The sequence below is a fragment of the Homo sapiens genome, chromosome 3 (genome assembly GCF_000001405.40).
Source record: "Homo sapiens chromosome 3, GRCh38.p14 Primary Assembly".
In the NCBI taxonomy this organism is placed as follows: Eukaryota; Metazoa; Chordata; class Mammalia; order Primates; family Hominidae; genus Homo; species Homo sapiens.
Genome location: NC_000003.12, coordinates 16,410,409 through 16,429,741, shown reverse-complemented (window position 1 = coordinate 16,429,741; position 19,333 = coordinate 16,410,409). Strand labels below are relative to the sequence as shown.

The 19,333-nt window shown below is 41.5% G+C and overlaps 1 protein-coding gene across 10 annotated transcripts in view, besides 1 other annotated feature; it reads left to right on the top strand.

Moving 5' to 3' along the window:
• The window catches only part of RFTN1 (raftlin, lipid raft linker 1), a 197,855-nt gene that overhangs the window by 83,958 nt on the left and 94,564 nt on the right, over nt 1-19,333 (top strand). The window lies entirely within an intron of this gene.
• Nucleotides 14,656-14,745: an enhancer, noted in NCBI's record as "active region_19543". NCBI's record gives its function as "activates an Ori minimal core promoter by ATAC-STARR-seq in GM12878 lymphoblastoid cells {active_cell/tissue: GM12878}" and the evidence as "EXISTENCE:reporter gene assay evidence [ECO:0000049][PMID:35858748]".

The window sequence follows — 19,333 nt, the reverse complement described above, 5'->3', positions numbered from 1 at the left end:
TATGCCAGAAACACCAGACGGAACCCCTCAAGCCTGCATTTATCCCCTCACTCATTCACTAACACTTGCTGAGTGAGTACTCTTTTCAGAGTATTGTGCTAGGAGCTCTATGTGGTGGGAAGTTAGAGAGTGCAAATGCCAGGCTCAGTTGAATGTGGAGCCTGCCTTCCAAGCACTTGCAGTCTAATTAAGTAAATGAGATATGTGCCTCATGCCACAGGAGTTTGGGAGAAGGAGATGCCACCTCTCACTGGAAGGGAAACCAAGGAAATGTTTCTGGAGGGGCAGCTTTTAACTTGGGCCTGATTTCTTTTGGGCAAACATGGGGAGTAATGAGCATGAGGCAGGAAGAGTTTATTTAAATCTCCTAATGAAATGTTTTCTAGTAGTATTTGAGTAATTGGAGAGCATCGTTGACAGTCTAACTAAATTATTAATGAGTCATTCCAAAAGTAGTTCTCAAGTGCAGTAACATTCCTCTGAGCTCACTGCCATTTTGACAGATTTCACTTACATCCCTGAAAAATTACCTGATCTTTTCTTCTGAAAATTCTAATAACTGCCATTTCATTTTACCATGGCAGGCCTAGCCACACATCTAACTGTAAACTGTTCTTAATTCTAAGTGTATTGAATTTAGTCAAGTCAGTTACTTTGACTCAAGTTACTTTGACTCAAGAATGAATAGCTGAATATGAAATACTTAGTGAATAAGTAGAAAGAGAGTTTGTACTTCATTTTCTCAACTCTTTCTTTGGAACACTTAGTGATTTTTAATAGACAATATAGTTGCACTCACTCTGAATTCTAAGTATAGTTAAGTGATCCTTCATTTTTTTCAAGTAGTTTTCCTTAGAATGAGTTGCTAAAGATCTTGAAACTTGATGGCTAACAGAAGTCAGTTATTAAAACGTCACTTCTGATGTTTCATGAGTGTGGGTTTAATTCTAGGTTGTTTTATGGTTATAGATGTAACTGCAGTACAAAAATGCATGGTGCTGGCCATTTTTCAGCTGTTGAATTGTCGTTGTACACACATGGAGCTAGGGGCGTCATTGGTGTGTTTTTCATCATGAATGAGTTGAAGTCCTTTGGCGACAGCTTCCGTAGAGTAATGCCTTACATGGTACAGGGACCAGCATACTAGGGAGCTCTGTGGACATTTATCAGGCACCTTTTGGCCTAGGATTAGGGTGGGGGCACACAGAGGACCTGTAGTTAATGCAGAGGCTGCAATTCTAAAATTCTTGTGGAAGGTGGAAAATGTGTACAATCAAAGTTACCCTTGAAAATCTTTTGAAGTGCATATAAAATGTAATACTGTGGCATCTCTCTACCTGACCAATGCATGTCTTCCTTCAGGACTAGATCAGATTGCTTTTCCAACAGTGAACCCCAAGGGGAGGTAAGCTGGTTTGGGTTTATAGTGAGTACTCATTGGAATCACACCTAGGATGGTGAAATTTTTGCACCTAGGGAAGCATTTGTGGGAATTGGCATTGAGGGAACAGGAACTCCACGCCTCCCTTCTCGAGTTCATTCTGGGGCACATCTGCCTATTGAATAGAATAACTGGCACTGTTTTAAGTGGTAAACATTTATCCCTTTTGTTTGGATTTTTCTAAGGTAAATATGTATATGTAATTTCACTATGCAAAGATGACTCTAAGGAGCTCCTAGATCTCAAGAAACTTATCTATCTACTAGGGAGCTGCAAAATATATGTGCAAATTATATAATTGCCCAGGTAAGTCTACAGGTCTTGGTTTGCATCTCTAACCTGGAATTTGTTAATGAGAGTGCTTTAGAAGAGGAGGCTCTGCGGCTGTCATTTGCTCTAGGTTGGGCATGATGGGTAGACTGGAATAGGGAGTGAAAAAGTGGGAAGGGCCTTCCCACTATTGACATTGTGGAACAAGTGGAACGTGGTGTCCAAAGAGAAACAGTGGGAGGGCAGGCATGAGAAGCCTGGAGGAGGCTGTGTGTGGTGCTGTAATGAGCCCCTCAGGCCAGGGCCCACTTCTCTAGCTGCTGACTTAGCCAAGGCTACTGCAGTCCTTGTTCTAGAACAGATTCCTCCAGTGATTCTTAGAAGAGATGCAGTGGGTTGTTGAGAGTTACGGTGAGCTGCTTCATCCCAAATTGACCATATGCTTGGAGTCTGTGAAATGTTTCCTCTTAGGCCATATCAGCAAGCTGTACTCCCAAGTGCTTACGAGCAACACAGATGACTGAATGAGTCAGCCTTGTCCACCCAGGGTCAAGTGATGCAAGAGAAACGATTCTTTTGGCTTTTGCTGTTTTATTTCCAGGAAAGTAAATCTCAGAGAATGCTCATCCCTTACCCTTTGTTTCTCCTCTTGAGACCCAGAATCTAAAATTCTGAAGACTCTGTCTTTATTCTAAGACAGGGCTTGCAAGCTCAGATCCCTACAGTGGCCTGGCTCATTGAATGGGGACTCTTGGGAAGTAGTGAGTCAATGCCTTAGCTCTGTCCTATGGTTATCAGGTGTTGCCAGGTCTTGTACTTTTTTCAAGAAAAGCCAGAAATCTGGATTTTTATGTGAAAACTTCTCTTTTAGCCTCACTTTTCCAAAGTAGGATTGTTTGTCCCTAACCCATGCCACTGGCTGCCATCTTGCAGCCTCTAAGATTTCTGTGTAGTGCTTACATCAGTAGAGGTAATCACACACCCTTTGAGCTGCTTATCCTGCCTTCGACACACAGCAATTGCTGGAATCTCAGTCTCTCCTGTTATTGTGTTTTAGATGTCTGCCCACCTCCACTCCCTTTGCTGAATCCTCTTCCATCTTTGGATTCCCATTGCTTGCTCAGAGTGCCAGGCCTTGAATAGATATTGCTCAATAGATTTTGCATGAATTGAGTGGGATAAAACCATGCCCTGGAATTTTGCTACAATCTTTTACTAAAGGACCATAAATTCATTATGAGATAGATCTGTCTTTGGTTTACGTATTTATCAGTACCAAAAGTATATCTTAATAATGCAGCCACATAGCACAGACCTCAAGTAATGGAACAGACACACACACACACACACACACACACACACACACACACGATCCTTTCATTGCCAAAATAACAGTGATTTGCCACAAGAATAGATGTCCATTATTTTTCACTCTTCTTTTTCTTTTAAAAGACATTCAAAGGATGGCCTTCAAAGAAAGGAAATCTTTGCGGACCATAAGTGAAGTACAAATGCATTATGTTATCTTTTTTTTATAGCCTACAAGATAATATGAACATTTTCTTTGGCATTTGAAAAGGGCAAAATTGGGAAAGTACAAAATTATACTGAAACTAAAAAGAAAATCCTTTAAAAAATTACAGTCGAAAGTGTCCTCTTTAAGTGGCCTTGTGTCTTTTCATGTCTAATTTTTACCAATTACCTTGACTCTTGGGAGAATTATAGGGCTTCTAGAAAGAGGTTTCATAATTAAGCGAAATACACAGGGGGTGGTAGCGCCTACTGGGGTGTGCCCTAGAAAATGTTCACACGCGAGGCCGAGGATCAGCCCTAGAGTGCGCTGATTGTTGGAATCACACGTGGGGAAGAAAGTAACGGTGGGTTTAGCACTGATTGATGCGTGCTACTGTGATGGGAAACTGCAGCCGCCGGTTTATTCCCAGAGAGCAGACATTGAGGAAGGTGAATTCAGAGCTCTTGCTTAAGGCAGAGCGGGGAATGAGAAGGTGTTTGTTTAGCATGTGGGTCGTTATTTTGGATTCCGATTTAGGTGGGGCGAACACCCGTTGCTGGCAGCTGCCCCTCGTTTCTGGTGTGGTATCTTTCCTCATCAGTTTTCTCTAGCTTCCTGAGGGGTGTGGAGGATTTGATTAGCTCTCCGGGCTGCCACCGTACCCCCTGAGGAGCTGTCCAGCATCACCAAGACTACCTTAATTTATTCCTCTTATTTTCCCATCTCACTCTGGAGTGACACCCTTTTCTGGTGTGTTGAAGTTTCAGGATTCACCGTTAATTATTTGTTTGCACTTTTCAATCTCATATGCCAGCGTAAAGCCACCTTCTCTTGGGGGAAAGAATTTTTTCCAATCCACACTCCTAAATGGCTTGCCGAGTTACTCTTGTTCTCTTCCTCCAAAGCATTGGCCTTTACCCCGGTGGAGAGAACAAGAAGGAGACGTGCATGGTTGGTGTGAGAGCTCATTTTCCCCACTCCTGTTCTATAGCTGCCCTTGATTGGCCTGTGTCTTTCCTCACATTTTATTTATTTTTTGTTTGTTTGTTTCTTCTGAGAGAGAGAATTAGCACACTAGTGATTTCCACCCTCTCCCCAGAACTATTTTGAAATGACAGAGAACAGTGAGCAGGTACCCAAACAAATGCACAAGCACTGAATTTCTTTGAAATTTCCTGTTAATCTTAAAACTTGGGTGAATACTTCAGTACCATGAAATGTCTGTATTTGTTTTTAAATAAAATAGAGGCCCCCTCTTCCCACATGTACATACAATCTTTAAGTAAAAATTGACTCTCTAGGAAGATTTATTTGGTAGCATTGCAAGGTAGACTACAGGGACATGATTTTGAGAATCGTATGCATAAGTGTAGGTAATTTAGTTGCAAATAATTTTACTAAAGCGTTGGAGTTTTCTATTTATATGTCTGTCTCATATTAAATATAGGAACTCAGATTGTCTTACTTTAAATCTTTGTGGGAGTCTTGTATTGAATAGTCTACCTATTCAACTCTGTTGAATTGAAAATTGACATTTTTTCCTCTTTGTCAATCAGAAGTAACTTAGATTTTTTTTGTGTGTTTTTCAAGCTGAAAAAGATATAATGGGCATTACCAGTGATGGGTCCTGGATGAGACTAGTCATTGAGTTTTACACTTTTAGATATGAATGCAGAAGTAGGTGAGATATAATGTTTAGATGTATATAAGTACATTATTAATGATTTAAATGTTCATGAGATTTTTATATAATGATTGTCTCTAAAATCTGTCCAAATTTTATATTTTAAATGATTGAAAGATGGAACCATTTACAAAGAGGTAAATGCTATAAAGATGCTATAAGTATATGAAAATATGATAAATATGCTATAAATATGAATACATCATTTCATTCACTTCCTATCATCGACCATGAGTTGGAACTTAAAATGGCTACAAAGACTTTAAAAACCAAATTAGCAGCTTGTATTCACATAACACCTGTTTCTGAGAGTCTGAGAGCACTTTGCTTTGTTCCTGTATGTTTTCGGTATTATAATTAATTCTCATTATGTCCTCATGATGGTTGTTTCTGTTGTTAATATTTGTCGAAAACATTACTGTGCTTTCAGCAGAGGTTTTAGACATACACTGTTTTGTAACCAAAAGATACCATGACCTTCCCTCATTCCCCACTTCTCATTTTATGTCTAGGAAAATGAGGCTGAAGAAGTCATTAACGACTTCTCAGTCCGAAGTTTGGAGTGGGTAATGGGAGTGTGTGGTGAATATAGAACTCAAGTTCCATCTTGAGACTCATGGCACAGAAATACATCATCTTTCAACTCAGAGGCCCCAGAGCTTATAGAAACATCCTCAGAGAATTCTGAGAATTTTCTGGGCTTTGTAACATCCCCAGTCCCCATGGCTACACTGTGGGACCAGAAGCTTTGCTAATTCCCCAGCTGGTTTCAGAACATAGGGCTACAACTGCAAACCACTTAGAGCTCCCCAAATGGCCCCATTCAGCAGGCTGGCTGGGTCTTTTCAGTTTCTGCACCAAATGATTATATGCAAATAATGGTTCTACGATTATCAGTGTGTTATTTTCTCTCTGCTCCCTAAAAACAAAATAAAAATGTATTTATTACGTGTCTTTTGGGTCCGCTAAGGTAGCAGTCTTTGTTAGAGAGAATGAGATGGACACGATTCCTGTTCGTGGGGAATTTGTAATATATTGCTATAGTTTAAGTCTCCAAAATTACTCCATCAAGCAACCTGGATCTCTTAGGAACATAATGCCCCCTTTTCTTGTAAAGAACATTTATGTGTTTGCAGGTACTTCTTCATATGATTTCTCATTTTTGATAATAGCCATCATAGCTACCATTTATTTACTGCTGTGGCTGGCTGGAGTCCTTGTTCATTGCTTCATGATATATATTATCTTTATTCCCCTAAGCCAAGATGAAGGAAATGAGACTCAGAGTGGTACTTGTCCAAGCCAGTGTCCACACGTTTCATGAGTGGAGAAACCGGTTTTCACATTGGCACCTGTCTTCTAATAGCATTCCTCTTTAATTGTTTAGCTGTGAGGGTTAAGGTAGGTAAGGATAGAATTTCTCAGCCTTGGTACTATTGACATTTTGGATCAGACAATTGTGTGTGGGACTGTCCTGTACATTGTAGGATATTTAGTAGACTCTCTGGTGTCTACCCACAAGATTCTACCAGCAAACCCCCCATCCCTGCAGTTGTGACAGATTCCAGACATTGCCTAATGTCTGTGGAAGGACAAAACTGCCCCGATTTGAGAACCAGTGGGTTAGTTAGGGAGTAAGACAGGGAGTCTAACTTTTTTTTTTTTTGAGACAGAGTCTCGCTCTGTCACCCAGGCTGGAGTGCAGTGGCGTGATCTTGGTTCACTGCAAGCTCTGCCTCCTGGGTTCTCGCCATTCTCCTGCCTCAGCCTCCCAAGGAGCTGGGACTACAGGCACCAACCACCATGCCCGGCTAATTTTTTTTGTATTTTTTGTAGAGATGGGGTTTCACTGTGTTAGCCAGGATGGTCTCGATCTCCTGACCTCATGATCCACCCACTTCGGCCTCCCAAAGTGCTGGGATTACAGGCGTGAGCCACTGCACCCAGCCAGGAGTCTAACTTTTATTTTCTTCTAGGTAGCCACCTTTGCCAAGAGCACTTATTAAGTTAACCTAACTTTGCCATTGAATAAATGCCACCTTTATTATAGTTAGGATTTCTATATGTACATCCCAATCTATTCCTGATTCTTTATTGTTTCTTTGATCTACTTATTGATTTTTGTGCCAGAACCATGTTATTTTGATGATAATAAATTTGTAATGTATGTTAACATCCAGTAGGGCACTATTCTTTTTTTTTTTTAGACGGAGTCTCGCTTTGTCACCAGGCTGGAGTGCAGTGGCACAATCTCGGCTCACTGCAACTTCCGCCTCCCGGGTTCAAGTGATTCTCCTGCCTCAGCCTCCTGAGTAGCTGGGATTACAGGCACGTGCCACCACGCCCAGCTAATTTTTTTGTATTTTTAGTAGAAACGGGGTTTCACCATGTTGGCCAGGATGGTCTCCATCTCCTGACCTCATGATCCACCCGCCTCAGCCTCCCAAAGTGCTGGGATTACAGGCGTGAGCCACCACACCCGGCCAGGGCACTATTCTTTTTTAGGATCTTGATAACTTTTGTACGTTGATTTTTCCATGTAAAGCCTGAAATAATTTCTTCAGTTCCTGGTAAACTCTGTTGAAATTGTAGTTACATTAACACACTAATTTAAGAAGAATTTCCACCTTGTGTTTTCAAGAACATAATGTTCAATATTATTATTGGAGGTAAATTTTATTTGAGAGCTTCATAATAATTCTGGAAATTCTATGTACTATCTAAACAGTGGTTACCAAAGTGGGGTAGACATATTTAATGTTGAAGGAGAACTGAGGTGTCTATTTTTATATATTTTATTGAAAAATTAGGAGAGAGATGATGTGTCATAATATTTAGCATTCAGGTTGAAGGTGGTGTCCTGGCTTGGTGTGTATGTCAGAGGTCACATGTGCTGTATGGAGCAGGAGGGGCCTGCAGAAGGGCTGGGTTCAGGGAAGCACTTTCAGCTGAGATCTCAGTAAGGTGAATTAGTGGATCGCTTTTTGTAATTTTAGCTAAATTAACTCTCATGAAATATACACATGGCTTTAAAAAATTTCTATGAAGTGATTGCAGATTGAAGAGAATACCCGTAATGTAAATGTAAAATCCTTCTCTCTCTCATGTGGAAATGGCTACACTGACCCGTCTCTGCCCATAAGAGCTTTGTGGGACGCAGTATGAGATTAAAACACCAATGTTGGGCTGGGCGTGGTGGCTCACACCTGTAATCCCAGCACTTTGGGAGGCCGAGGCGGGCGGATCACGAAGTCAAGGGATCGAGACCATCCTGGCCAACATGGTGAAACCCTGTCTCTACTAAAAATACAAAAATTAGCTGGGCATGGTGGCATGCACCTGTAGTCCCAGCTACTCCGGGGGCTGAGGCAGGAGAATCACTTGAACCCGGGAGGTGGAGATTGCAGTGAGCTGAGATTATGCCACTGCACCCCAGCCTGGGCGACAGAGTGAGACACCATCTCAAAAAGAAAAGAAAAAAAAAAAACACCAATACCAATGCCTACCTGTTCAGATCTGATTTAGAAATTTGGAATTATCAAGAAGACTTTTTGAAAAGTGTGTTATAGTTCCATTATGTTAACAATGAATCTCATTTCAAGTGTATATTTTGCCTTGAGGTATTAGCTATTAATAGTGTGAACTTACTGTGATCATCATTATAAAATATTGCTTATTTCATCATTTCTGTTGTTTACGATTTTCTGTTTTGTATGTTTTGTTTTATAACATATGTAAGATGTTAGTACAGTGGTACTCAGGAATTTTTTTCTGGCACGCTGTGTGATCAGAAAAATTTGGAGACAATTGATCCACTCAGCATTTGAGACACACTGGAACTGGTGGTTCCTGAAGCAGTCGGAATCTTGCTACTCAAAGTGTGGTCCATGCACCAGCAGCATCAGCATCACCTGGGAGCTCTTAGAGACACAGACTCTCAGGCCTACCCAGACCTGTCGAATCAGAGTCTGTACTTTAACGAGGTTCCAGATGATTTGCACATACATTAAAGTTTGAGAACAGAATTAAGCTGTCTTTTCCTGTAACACAGCCATTAGCCATGTATAGCCATTTAAATTGTTAAAATTAAGTAAGAATAAAAATTCAATTCTTCAGTTGCACTGGCTGAATTTCAGGTGCTCAGTAGCAAAACATGCTGTAGCAAAACCGTAGTGGCTATTTTACTGGACTGTACAGATATAGAACATTTCTATCACCTAACTCAGTTAGTGGGTATAGGTGGGATGATTTGGGAAGGAAGAAAACAATCAGCAAAGTTTAATGTGGAACATGTGCATTCAATGCACGTAGAGAAGAGGCTTCTTGTAACCTAACTGGACAGGTCCCATGAGAGAGTCTCATGAACACCATTCCTATGTAGCTATTATTGCTATTTTTGTTTGCAGATATGTGACTTTTCTGAACCAGTAAATGTCAGGCAGACTGCTTTTATTCAGTATTCTATTTGTGATAAAATATTATTAATTATGCATCGCTACTAATATTAGTTCTTTCTACATCTGTCAATGTAAAGGAGAGACTTGCAGCATTCCAGAGAAAGCAGGACCCTCCCCCAGCTCCCATTCTGTGTGGCTGCTCTCCTCTTTTCTGCAGCCCAGCTCACTGGGCATTGAAATTCTTTCACAACTCCATTAGACAGGGAGCACCGAGGCAAAGTTTGTCTGTTTTCCTCTTGGTCTTTACGGTTAACAGTGCACTCCTTGTAGTGCACAGTGGCTGATAGTTTGTCTCCCAGGGAGCCAGCCCTGACAGTAAGCAGCAAGACAGGATGATTTCTCTAGAATAAATAGCAGGGTCGGATAGTTAGATGTCCCTGGTAACATCTCCCCAGTAGGCATGCACAGCTCCCTGAGAGAGTGTGTAGTGGGAGTATCCTTTGCACATCTCCCCCATCATGTCCAGAATGTTCCCAGAGATACCAAACTTTTTTCAACAGAAGTGCTGAATGTCTTCTGCTAGAAGGGGAAGGGAACATCGGAAGAAAGGACAGTGACTCATCTGTGGGTAAATTCTTCTCCTTCGTTGTGCTTCCTACTTCACAACTCCCCTGGGGGACCCTATACTGAGGTGCTTTATTTAAAGATTTGCTAGGATTTGTTTACTTGACTATTTTTTCCTCAAGTATTTCTTCAGTTTTGCTATAGGGGAAACTTTTAACTCCAACAGGCTCATTGTATTTGTGTAGATTTGGTTCATTTTGCAAAGAGGGTTCATAAAATTATGGGAAACCTTTTCCCTATTGTACTGGGAGCATCTCTGGGAAGGTGCAGGTTATTCCCCTGCCCACAACCACCACCAATTGCAGGGACAAGAAATACTGCTCTTCCGTCCACCCACTCCCTTCGACAAAAATCTCAGTACAGTTCTCATTGCTGCTGTCCTAAAATATTCTTCCCCCCTTCCTACATCATACACACTGCCGCCTGCTTAATCTTCCCAGAATCTGTCATAGTATCTTTCTCTCTAAGGCCACCCATGACTCTTCTTTACTTCACAGTTAAGGCGAGTACCGTCCTTTCTCAGTAACTTTGTTTCCCACTATTCTGCCCCGGTCACTGCAGAGCCCACAGTCACAGACTCGTTCTAACAGTGGATTCACCCACACGTTCCCTAGGCTCATCATTACAGCCTCTGCTGAGTTACAGGCAACCCGCACCTTCACACACCTTTTGCCTAACTGACCTATTTATTATTTCCATCATATAACTCATGCTTTTCTCAATCTAGGTCTTCATTAATTTCTGTTCTCAGGCCTAGAATGTCCTTTTATCCATTGTCCCATGACTAACTTCCATACAGACTCAAAGACTCAGCCCACACACGCCTTGCTCCTTAAATTTTCCCCTGATCCTTGACACTGGAAATAATTGAATTCTCATAGCACTTCTGTTTATACACAGTCTATCTAGACTTGAGGGCAGGATCTAGACTTGAGGGCAGTGCCTTCAATCCCTCATATGTGGTCAGCAGTCAAGCAGGTGATGGATAGACAAATGAATAAGTGGAGATTTTTATTGTCATTAGTTATACGTAAGTTAATGAAACTAGGAATAGCTTTCTTTTTCTTTCATTGACAAATCTCTTTCAGATCTCTAGCTCATTTCTCTCCCTAATACTTCTTTAAAAAAAAAAAAATAAGCTGTTCTGATTATTCTATTTGAGCTTGGTGTTGCTTTGGGAAACAAAAATCTTAAAATTCCTTCCTGTTTCCCAGAGATAGAGAATTTGTTTTTGTCAACTGACGTTTAGTATTTTTTTTCCTGGCTGGAGAAGTGCCTAGTAATCTGTTTGTGTTTGTCACCATTTTTTTTTGATTATTTCTAAATGAAGCAAAAATAACCCTACTGATGAACTGCACATTCTCTCTCCTTTTCATAACTGCCTGTTGTCCTGGGAAAAAGAAGACATCGTTTAAACTCATGGTCTTTGAAGAGATCTAAGGGATTTATGAGCCAAAATGGGATTTATTACATGTTTATTATTTAAAAGTAATGTGTATCATAGTTTTTAGTCACATGCTTATTTTTTAGAAGTATAGTTTATAATAGTTTTTCGACAGGCAATTGTTTTTTAGTGGCCTCATTTTAGATCTTCCCATGAGACCAAAATGCATATTCAACTTACTACTTGGCACTTTGTCAGTGATTTGAGGGTTAACTGTTTTGCCTGTGATAATTACCAATATTGAAAGCACTCATAAGTGTTAGCAGTACTTGTTACAACAATGCTATTTTAATGTCTTAGGAAAGGGTTAGGTCCCACCACTGTGAGAGCAGAGTGAGGGGCTGTTTAAATGGGTCAGACAAGGCCGGGCATGGTTGCTCACACCTGTAATCCCAGAACTTTGGGATGCCGAGCTGGAGGTTCACTTGAGCCCAGGAATTTGAGACCAGCCTGGGCAACATGGCAAAACCCTGTCTCTATAAAAAATATAAATATTAGCTGGGTGTGGTGGTACACGCCTGTAGTCCCAGCTACTTAGGAGGGTGAGGTGGGAGGATTGCTTGAGCTGGAAGGCCAAAGCTGCAGGCTTTTATATGAGAACAAAATGTCTAGATTATGTGCTTTGGTTTCAGAAAGAATCTTTCACTCGTTGCCCATGGGCGTTTGAGTTTACAGCGCTAGTTTGGCCATCTGACCCTTCCCCTGCCTGGAGAATGACTACACCACCCTTGGCAGACGCTAGGGTGGTGGTGAGTGAAGATCTCCAGGTACATCTCTGAGTTTGCACACAGTTTTACAGTTGATGTTTGTGTATGAGTAATGAGGTCAACCTGACACAGAATAGGGGTCTTTTATCATGTTCTGAAACGACCCTGACATCTGTGGCCAGTTGTGTTGACATTTGTGTACAAGTGCTCAGTGTCCAAATCTACTTTCATATGTTTGTCTGACAAGCATTATTTAATGTGTGTGTGGTTTTTTTACTTGTTCACATTCAGTTTTGGCCCAAGTTCTAGATATAAGGTGTTAAAGAAATGAGGACTGTTTGGAATGACAGAGAAGTTCTGGAGGCCGGGTGCGGTGGCTGATGCCTGTATTCTCAGCACTTTAGGAGGCTGAGGCGGGAGGATCACTTGATGGCCTGGGCAACGTAGGGAGAACTCATCTTTACTAAAATTCAAAAAAAAAAAAATTAGCCAGACATGGTAGCATGTGCCTGTAGTCCCAGCTACTTGGGGGGCTGAGGTGGGAGGATTGCTTGAGCCCAGGAAGTTGAGGCTGCAGTGAGCCCTTGATCATGCCACCGCACTTCAGCCTGGGCAACAGAGTGAGACCCTGTCTCAAAAAAAAAAAAAAAAAGAAAAAGAAAAACAAGTTCTGGAAATGGGTAGTGATGGTGGTTGCACAACATTGTGAAGGTACTTAACGCCACTGAATTGTACACTTAAAAATGATTAAAATGGTAAATGTTATGTGATGTGTATTTTATCATAATAAAAAAATTTTTAAAAGTAAGGAAAGCAAGAAGTTGGAAGTAGTTTTGAGTTTTTCTGACCAGAGGAAGCATAGACCCCATTCTTTCATTTCATTATCCCTGGTCTTTTTCCTTGAAGGTTTATTTTCCTCTTAGAATACAAGAGTCTACATTACTCATCTTTATAAGTCATTCTTTCTATTTTTCCCTTTTCCATGGACTTGTTCAGTTATGTCCCAAGGAAAATCTCTAGGAGAGTGGCAGATACAACATACCCTGCCTAGGAATAACTTGAGATTTAACAGAAAAGTTGCAAAGGTATTCCAGAGAATTCTCATATGCACTTCCCCAAGTTTCCCACCACCATTAATATCTTACATTACCATACTATGTTTGTCAAACTAAGAAATTGACATTGGTACTTCACTGTTAATTAAACCGTAGATTTTACCATTTTTCTATTAATGTCCTTTTTCAGTTCCAGGATCCAATCCAGGGTACTATACTGCATTTAGTTGTCATGTTGTGATGGCTTTTTAAAACTTAACGGGGCTCAGATGTCTTAGTTGCTTCTCCATTGCCTCCAGCAATCAGAACCACTCTGTTTATGTGCATTATTAAAACTATGTTGCTACACTCTAAGGATTCGAGTTCATTTTGTCCTATTCATTCTTGATTTTCAGGAAATCACATCTCTGCCAGTAGTACCCTTTTATTCTCACTCCTTTCAGAAAATTCCTTTGGAATGGTGAAATACAGCCTCTCAAATCTCCAGTGCTCTGTGTAAGTGGGGGGTCCCAAGATGTAAGATGGGTCAGAGCTCTTTTTAGTTAATTTTTCCCCAGGCTGTTTCTGAGAAATGACTCAGCAGCAAGATGATGATTTTTTTTTTTCAAGGAGCCAAGCTATTCTGAACCCAAATCAAAATTTAAATTTGACAATCTGCCCAATTTATATGATTATCTGCCAGATAATCATATAAACAGATAAACAGATTAACAGATTTCTTCACACCTATTTGCATAGGGTGGATTAAATTCAGTTTCCCTCTTGGGATTTCAAGAGGATAAGTAACTTGGAGAGAAGATTATAAATTTGTTAATTGAGGAAATTGACAGGATGTCTCATACCCTTCTCCTTGACTTGCTTCCTTGCTTCCTTGCTTCCAGGAAAACAAACGTGTTCTCTTTGTTTTCTTCCTTCTTCCCTGGTTATTCTTTCTTTAGCTCCTTGGCTGTTTGTTCCTCTTTTCACCCCACCCTCTTCATGGTGGAGGGTCCCAAAATTAAATTCTTAACCCTTCTCTTGCTACATTAATGGAGAGCTCATTTAGCCTCATGCTTTAAGTAATACCTGGGAGACTGATGACTCCTAAATTTATATCTCCAGCTGCAGTCCAGACCGTTCTCCTGCAGTCCAGACTTCAGTATATATATTCAAGTATATATGTGTGTGTGTGTGTGTATATATATATATATATATATACTCAACTGTCTACCAGACATCTCAACTTGGATGTCTTCTGGATATGTCATATTCAACATATCTGAAACTTGAATTATCTTTCTTCCCCCCTAAGCCTGTGCCACCCAACCCTTCCCCATGATAGTTCTGGCAAAGTCATCCATTCTCCCAGTTGCTAAGGCAAAGATCCTTGGAGTCATCTTCATCTGCTTTCCTCCTTCCACACCCCACAACCTGTTCATATGAAAATCTTGAAGGTTTTACCTTGAAAATATAACTGGAACCCAGCACTTCTCACTGCTGCTAGGACACTGTTGCCAACCCACTCTGAGCCATCATCATCCCTTGCCTGGACCACTTAGATGGGCTTCTGGCTGCCCCTTACAGCCAGAGGGATCCTTTTAAAATTCACCAGATCATGTCACTTCTCTGTTCCACACCCTCCACGGACTTCCTCTGTCATTCTGAGTAAAAGCCATTGTCTTCACTGTGGCCTGAATGTCTATACTATCCATCTCCCCTGAGGCTCTCCAACTGTGTCTTCCTCCCTGCACCCCTCTGCACTGAGCCCCGGCCACAGGGCTTCTTTGCATGCCCTCAGCTTAGGGCCTTTGCATGAGCTGTTGTTCCCTCTGCCTGGAGAGCTCATGCCCTGGATGAGCCCGGTCCCTTACCTCCTGGAAGTCTTTATTCCAAATTTCACCTCATCAGTGCAGCTATCCTGACCACCCTCATTAAAACTACAACTGTCTCCCTGCTGCCCCTGCCATTCACCTTACCCTGCTGCTGTGTTTCTTTTTTCCTTTTCTTTTCTTTTTTTTTTTTTTGAGATGAAGTCTCACTCTGTTGCTCAGGCTGGAGTGCAGTGGTGTGATCTTGGCTCACTGCAACCTCCGCCTCCCAGGTTTAAACAATTCTGTCTCAGCCTCCCAAGTAGCTGGAATTATAGGCGTGCACCACCATGCCTGGCTAATTTTTGTATTTTTAGTAGAGATGGGGGTTTGCCATGTTGGCCAGGCTGGTCTCGAACCCCTGACCTCAGGTGATCCTCCCACCTCAGCCTCCCGAAGTGCTAGGATTACTGGCGTGAGCCACTGTGCCCAGCCCTTTTCTTTCTTTCTTTTTTTTTTTTTTTCAAGACTTCCCACCATTGGGCATACTCTGTTAGGTGCTCATGCATGTCTATTGCTTATTGTCTTTCTCCTCCTATTAGATTGTTAGCTCCACAAAGGCAGAGGTTTTGTCACTTCTATCTATTGATGAATGCTAAAGTATAGTACCTGACACAGTAGTAGTGTGGTCCATATTTAATGAATGAATGAGTAATGAACTGTGAAAAGTGCTAGGAAGGAAAAGTAAGAACACAATTATAGATGATAATAACAGATCAGTAGCAGGTAGGATTTGTTGAGCCTGGATGTTGTACCTCTGTGCTAAGGGCTTTGCTTCTTTTTGTCCTATTTAATCCTTACAGCAATGTTAAGAGGTAGCTCCGTATAATATCCCATTCATTAGTGAAAGAAACTGAAGCACAGAAAGTTTAAGTAAATTGCCCAAAGGCTCACAGCTGGTGTATTACCTGCCTCTAGTTAGCTCTAACACCGGTAGCCTCTAACTAATAAATCTATTGGAATTATCATACCAAGTTGGGGATGGCGAGTGATGGGGAAGCATATTTTATTATTAGTCATGCTCTCCTCAGAGTGTCTTTATTTAATTGGAGAGTGCTTAGTGTTAATTTCCAGATAAAGTAGGTTGGGGGGGCTTTTGCTGTTAGTTAACCCTGTGTACGTCTCCAGAAATGCATTCTGTGTTTTCTTTTTCTTACTGTTTAAAACCAGATCTCTCTGTCCTTTCCAAAAGTGGAAGTCATCTGGACTTCTGTCCAGGGGAAGTTTGGTGGTTTCCCATATTCTTTTCCAGGATGATACAATGACATGGCCCTTTGGGGAGCATACCTGGTATTTCCACTACCCCATAGGAAGGTGGCAATGCCTGCTCAGCTGGGAGTTTCAGGTTAATGCTTCTTCCATAGAAACTAGATTGATAGCGGAATATTTATTCCTTTGTCCTGTGGTATCTTGGACAACCAGGCCACAGCCCTGGAGGTCACTTCTAGGACATGTCCACTTCTGTCTCCCAGGATAGTCCTTGCCCTCAGGGACACAGAACACTCCTCACCTGATGGAGCTGCTTTCAGATGTCTGGCTGGATTTTGTGGGTTTGGGCCTAGGCCTGGTCACCAGTGGGTGGCCTGTTCTAAGCATGAAACTGCCATGTCTTCCTCCTCAGGAACTGTGTTAGTTTTCTGTTTTCTTTTTTTGGTATTAGTTTTCTATGCTCTGTAATAAATGATAACACATTTCATGGTTCAAAATGGTACGTATTTATTATCATATGGTTTCTGTAGTTTATCAGGGTTCTTTGCTTCAGAATTTTATCAGGCTGTAATATCAGTGTTGGCTCAGGCTGCAGTCTCATCAGAGGCTCAACTGAGGAAAGCCCCACTTCCAGCCTCCCTCAGTTTGTTGGCAGGAATCATCTCCTTGTAGTTGTAGGACTGGGATCTCTGTTTTCTTGCAGCTGTTGGCCAGGGACTACCCACAATTTCTTGCCATGTGGCTCTCTCCTTCTTCCTGAAGCTTTCTTCTTCAAAGCCAGTAAGGGATTCTCTAGCTCAGAGGGAGTCATATAACATAATGCCATCACAGGAGTGACATCCATCACCTTTACCATGTTTTATTGAGTAGGTGCAAGTCACAGGCCCTGCCCCCACTGAAAGGGCTGGATTGCACAAAAGTGTGAACACCAGGAGGTGGGGATTGTTGTGGGGGTCATCTTAGAGTGTGTTTGCCACAGCAACCATGGTCTCCCCACCACCACCTCACTCCCCACCTCCAGTGCTGAGAAGCCCAGAAACTCCCTCTGGCAGCTCTATAGGGCTTTGCTAGTGGATTTAATGCTGTTTTTCATAGGATTAGTGGCAAGGAGAGAGTTTCTGTGTGACTGTGCCTTCTGCCTTCAGCTCTTCCTCTGTGAGGCCATAGCTGCACCATCACAGAGTGCTGACTTCAAGGCTGGGCAGCCAGCATCTGTCCTCAAGGGGTTTAGGGATTTTTCCCCCTTCCTCTCCCTTTCAGCCATTCTTCAGTGTAATAATCCTTTCATTTCAAATTGAGGAGCTAATTCCCAAAGGCAGGAGAACGCCTATTACTTGCTCACCTATTCCCCCAATATGCATTAGATTTGCTTTTCCAAGAAACCATAGGCTGAGATGTAATTTTCCATGGTTCATCTAAAAAATTTGTAATGCCTATTTTTCTTGATCTTTTGTGCCCCTTTCAGTTCAGATGTAACTGAGTTAATTATTTGAAGAAATGAACCAGAGCTTCCTTTCTTGTTATAGAACTTCTTGTTCCAGAACCAGAGATGGTACTTATTAGATTCTATGCTAAAGATTATTCCCTAGAATCGATCTGGGCTGTGAGTTGCTTACAGACCAACTTGTCTTCCTTTTGTTCATCCTGTGAATGTTGTACTTAATGGATACAGCATTGACTTATTTAAAATGATTATAGTTTTTTAGTCTATTCATTTGAAATCTCAATGGATATTTCTAAATAACCTCATATAGCCTGTTTCCATGTAACAGAACAGCTGGATTTTAGATTTTAGAACCCCCTCTCCCTCATCCTGATTTTTGTTGTTTGAGACCTCACATGGTACGTATGACAGTGTGTCTTGACCAAGTCTTCTTTTCAAAGGTCTGGAATCATCTGCCTTAGTTCCTCTTAATATGTCTTTTGTTTGGGGAGGAAATGAGAACATGAGTCTAGTCTCTGACCAAGTATTAAGGCAAAAAGGTTAGGGTTCAGAATTGGTTTATTCTTTTGGGATTAGTTTGTTCCAGATTGAAATCAGTTTATTGTTTTACATTTTGAATGTATGCGCCACAGTACCCTACCCTTGGAAGGGTATGTTGGAAAGAAAAATAAAAATAAGCTATTGAAGTTTGCTTACCAAATCACAGTTGCACACCTGGGGAAAACCAAATCCTCTTTCATTTTTTTCACTTTTAAATTTAAGGTGAATCATACACAGATGGTTAATGGTAGCAGAAATTGCTTTTAATGCTATATAAGAATCTTAGAAATTTATTTAAAACGTTGCAGCAAATACACAGTTAGAAACTGGTGAGATGCATGTATCTCAGGAGTTCAGTGTGGAAGTGCCTGCTTTATGCATTTTCTGGACAGTCCTGCTCTCACAGGGACTTCAGGGGCCCCTCTTTGGTAGAACAGCCTCATAAGTGGGCCAGGAGGGCTCTGCTCCCTCCTCCACCAGTGCAGATTAGCTGTGTACATGAGCCCTGGACAAGGAGCTGGGAGCCTTGGTCTCTAATTCCCACTCCCCAATACCACCAGCCACCTAGAAGAGACAGCACGTTCTGCCAGCCTTTAGCTGCAGTACCACTCTTGTTGCCTTATGCCTGGCTGGGCCAAGGAATCCTCTTCAATTTCTGACACCCACGTGATTTCCACTCTAGTGTCATACAGGAGCCCTGCCTGTGAATGGCTGTGAAGTGGTGGAATTTCCTCCTGGTGACCACTTGCTGCTGGCTCTCCTGAATGGGTGCAGTTTTGAACTGTGCTGTATCACAGGGATGTCTATGTGGTGGTGCTTTGGAAAGCAGCCCCTGTGTGCAGAGATGGCAGGGTGCGCTAGGAAGCCTCTCCTTTGACAGCAAGACTACAGGCCTTCACCTCAGACAGCCGTTTACACCCACGCTGTTTTCCCAGAATTTCTTTTAGTTGCTCAGTAGTCTTTCTTTAATGCATCTTTAATTTCCATAGATTTTGCCAGATTGCCCTCTAAAGGGGTTGAACCCTTTTAAAGTCTTTTAAAAATTAATTTTTAATTTTCTAAGTGATATAGGAATATATTCTTTTCATTTAAAAATGAAAACAATTAGGGATTATGGCTAAATTCACTTTTGATCACCACCCCCACACCCATACCATC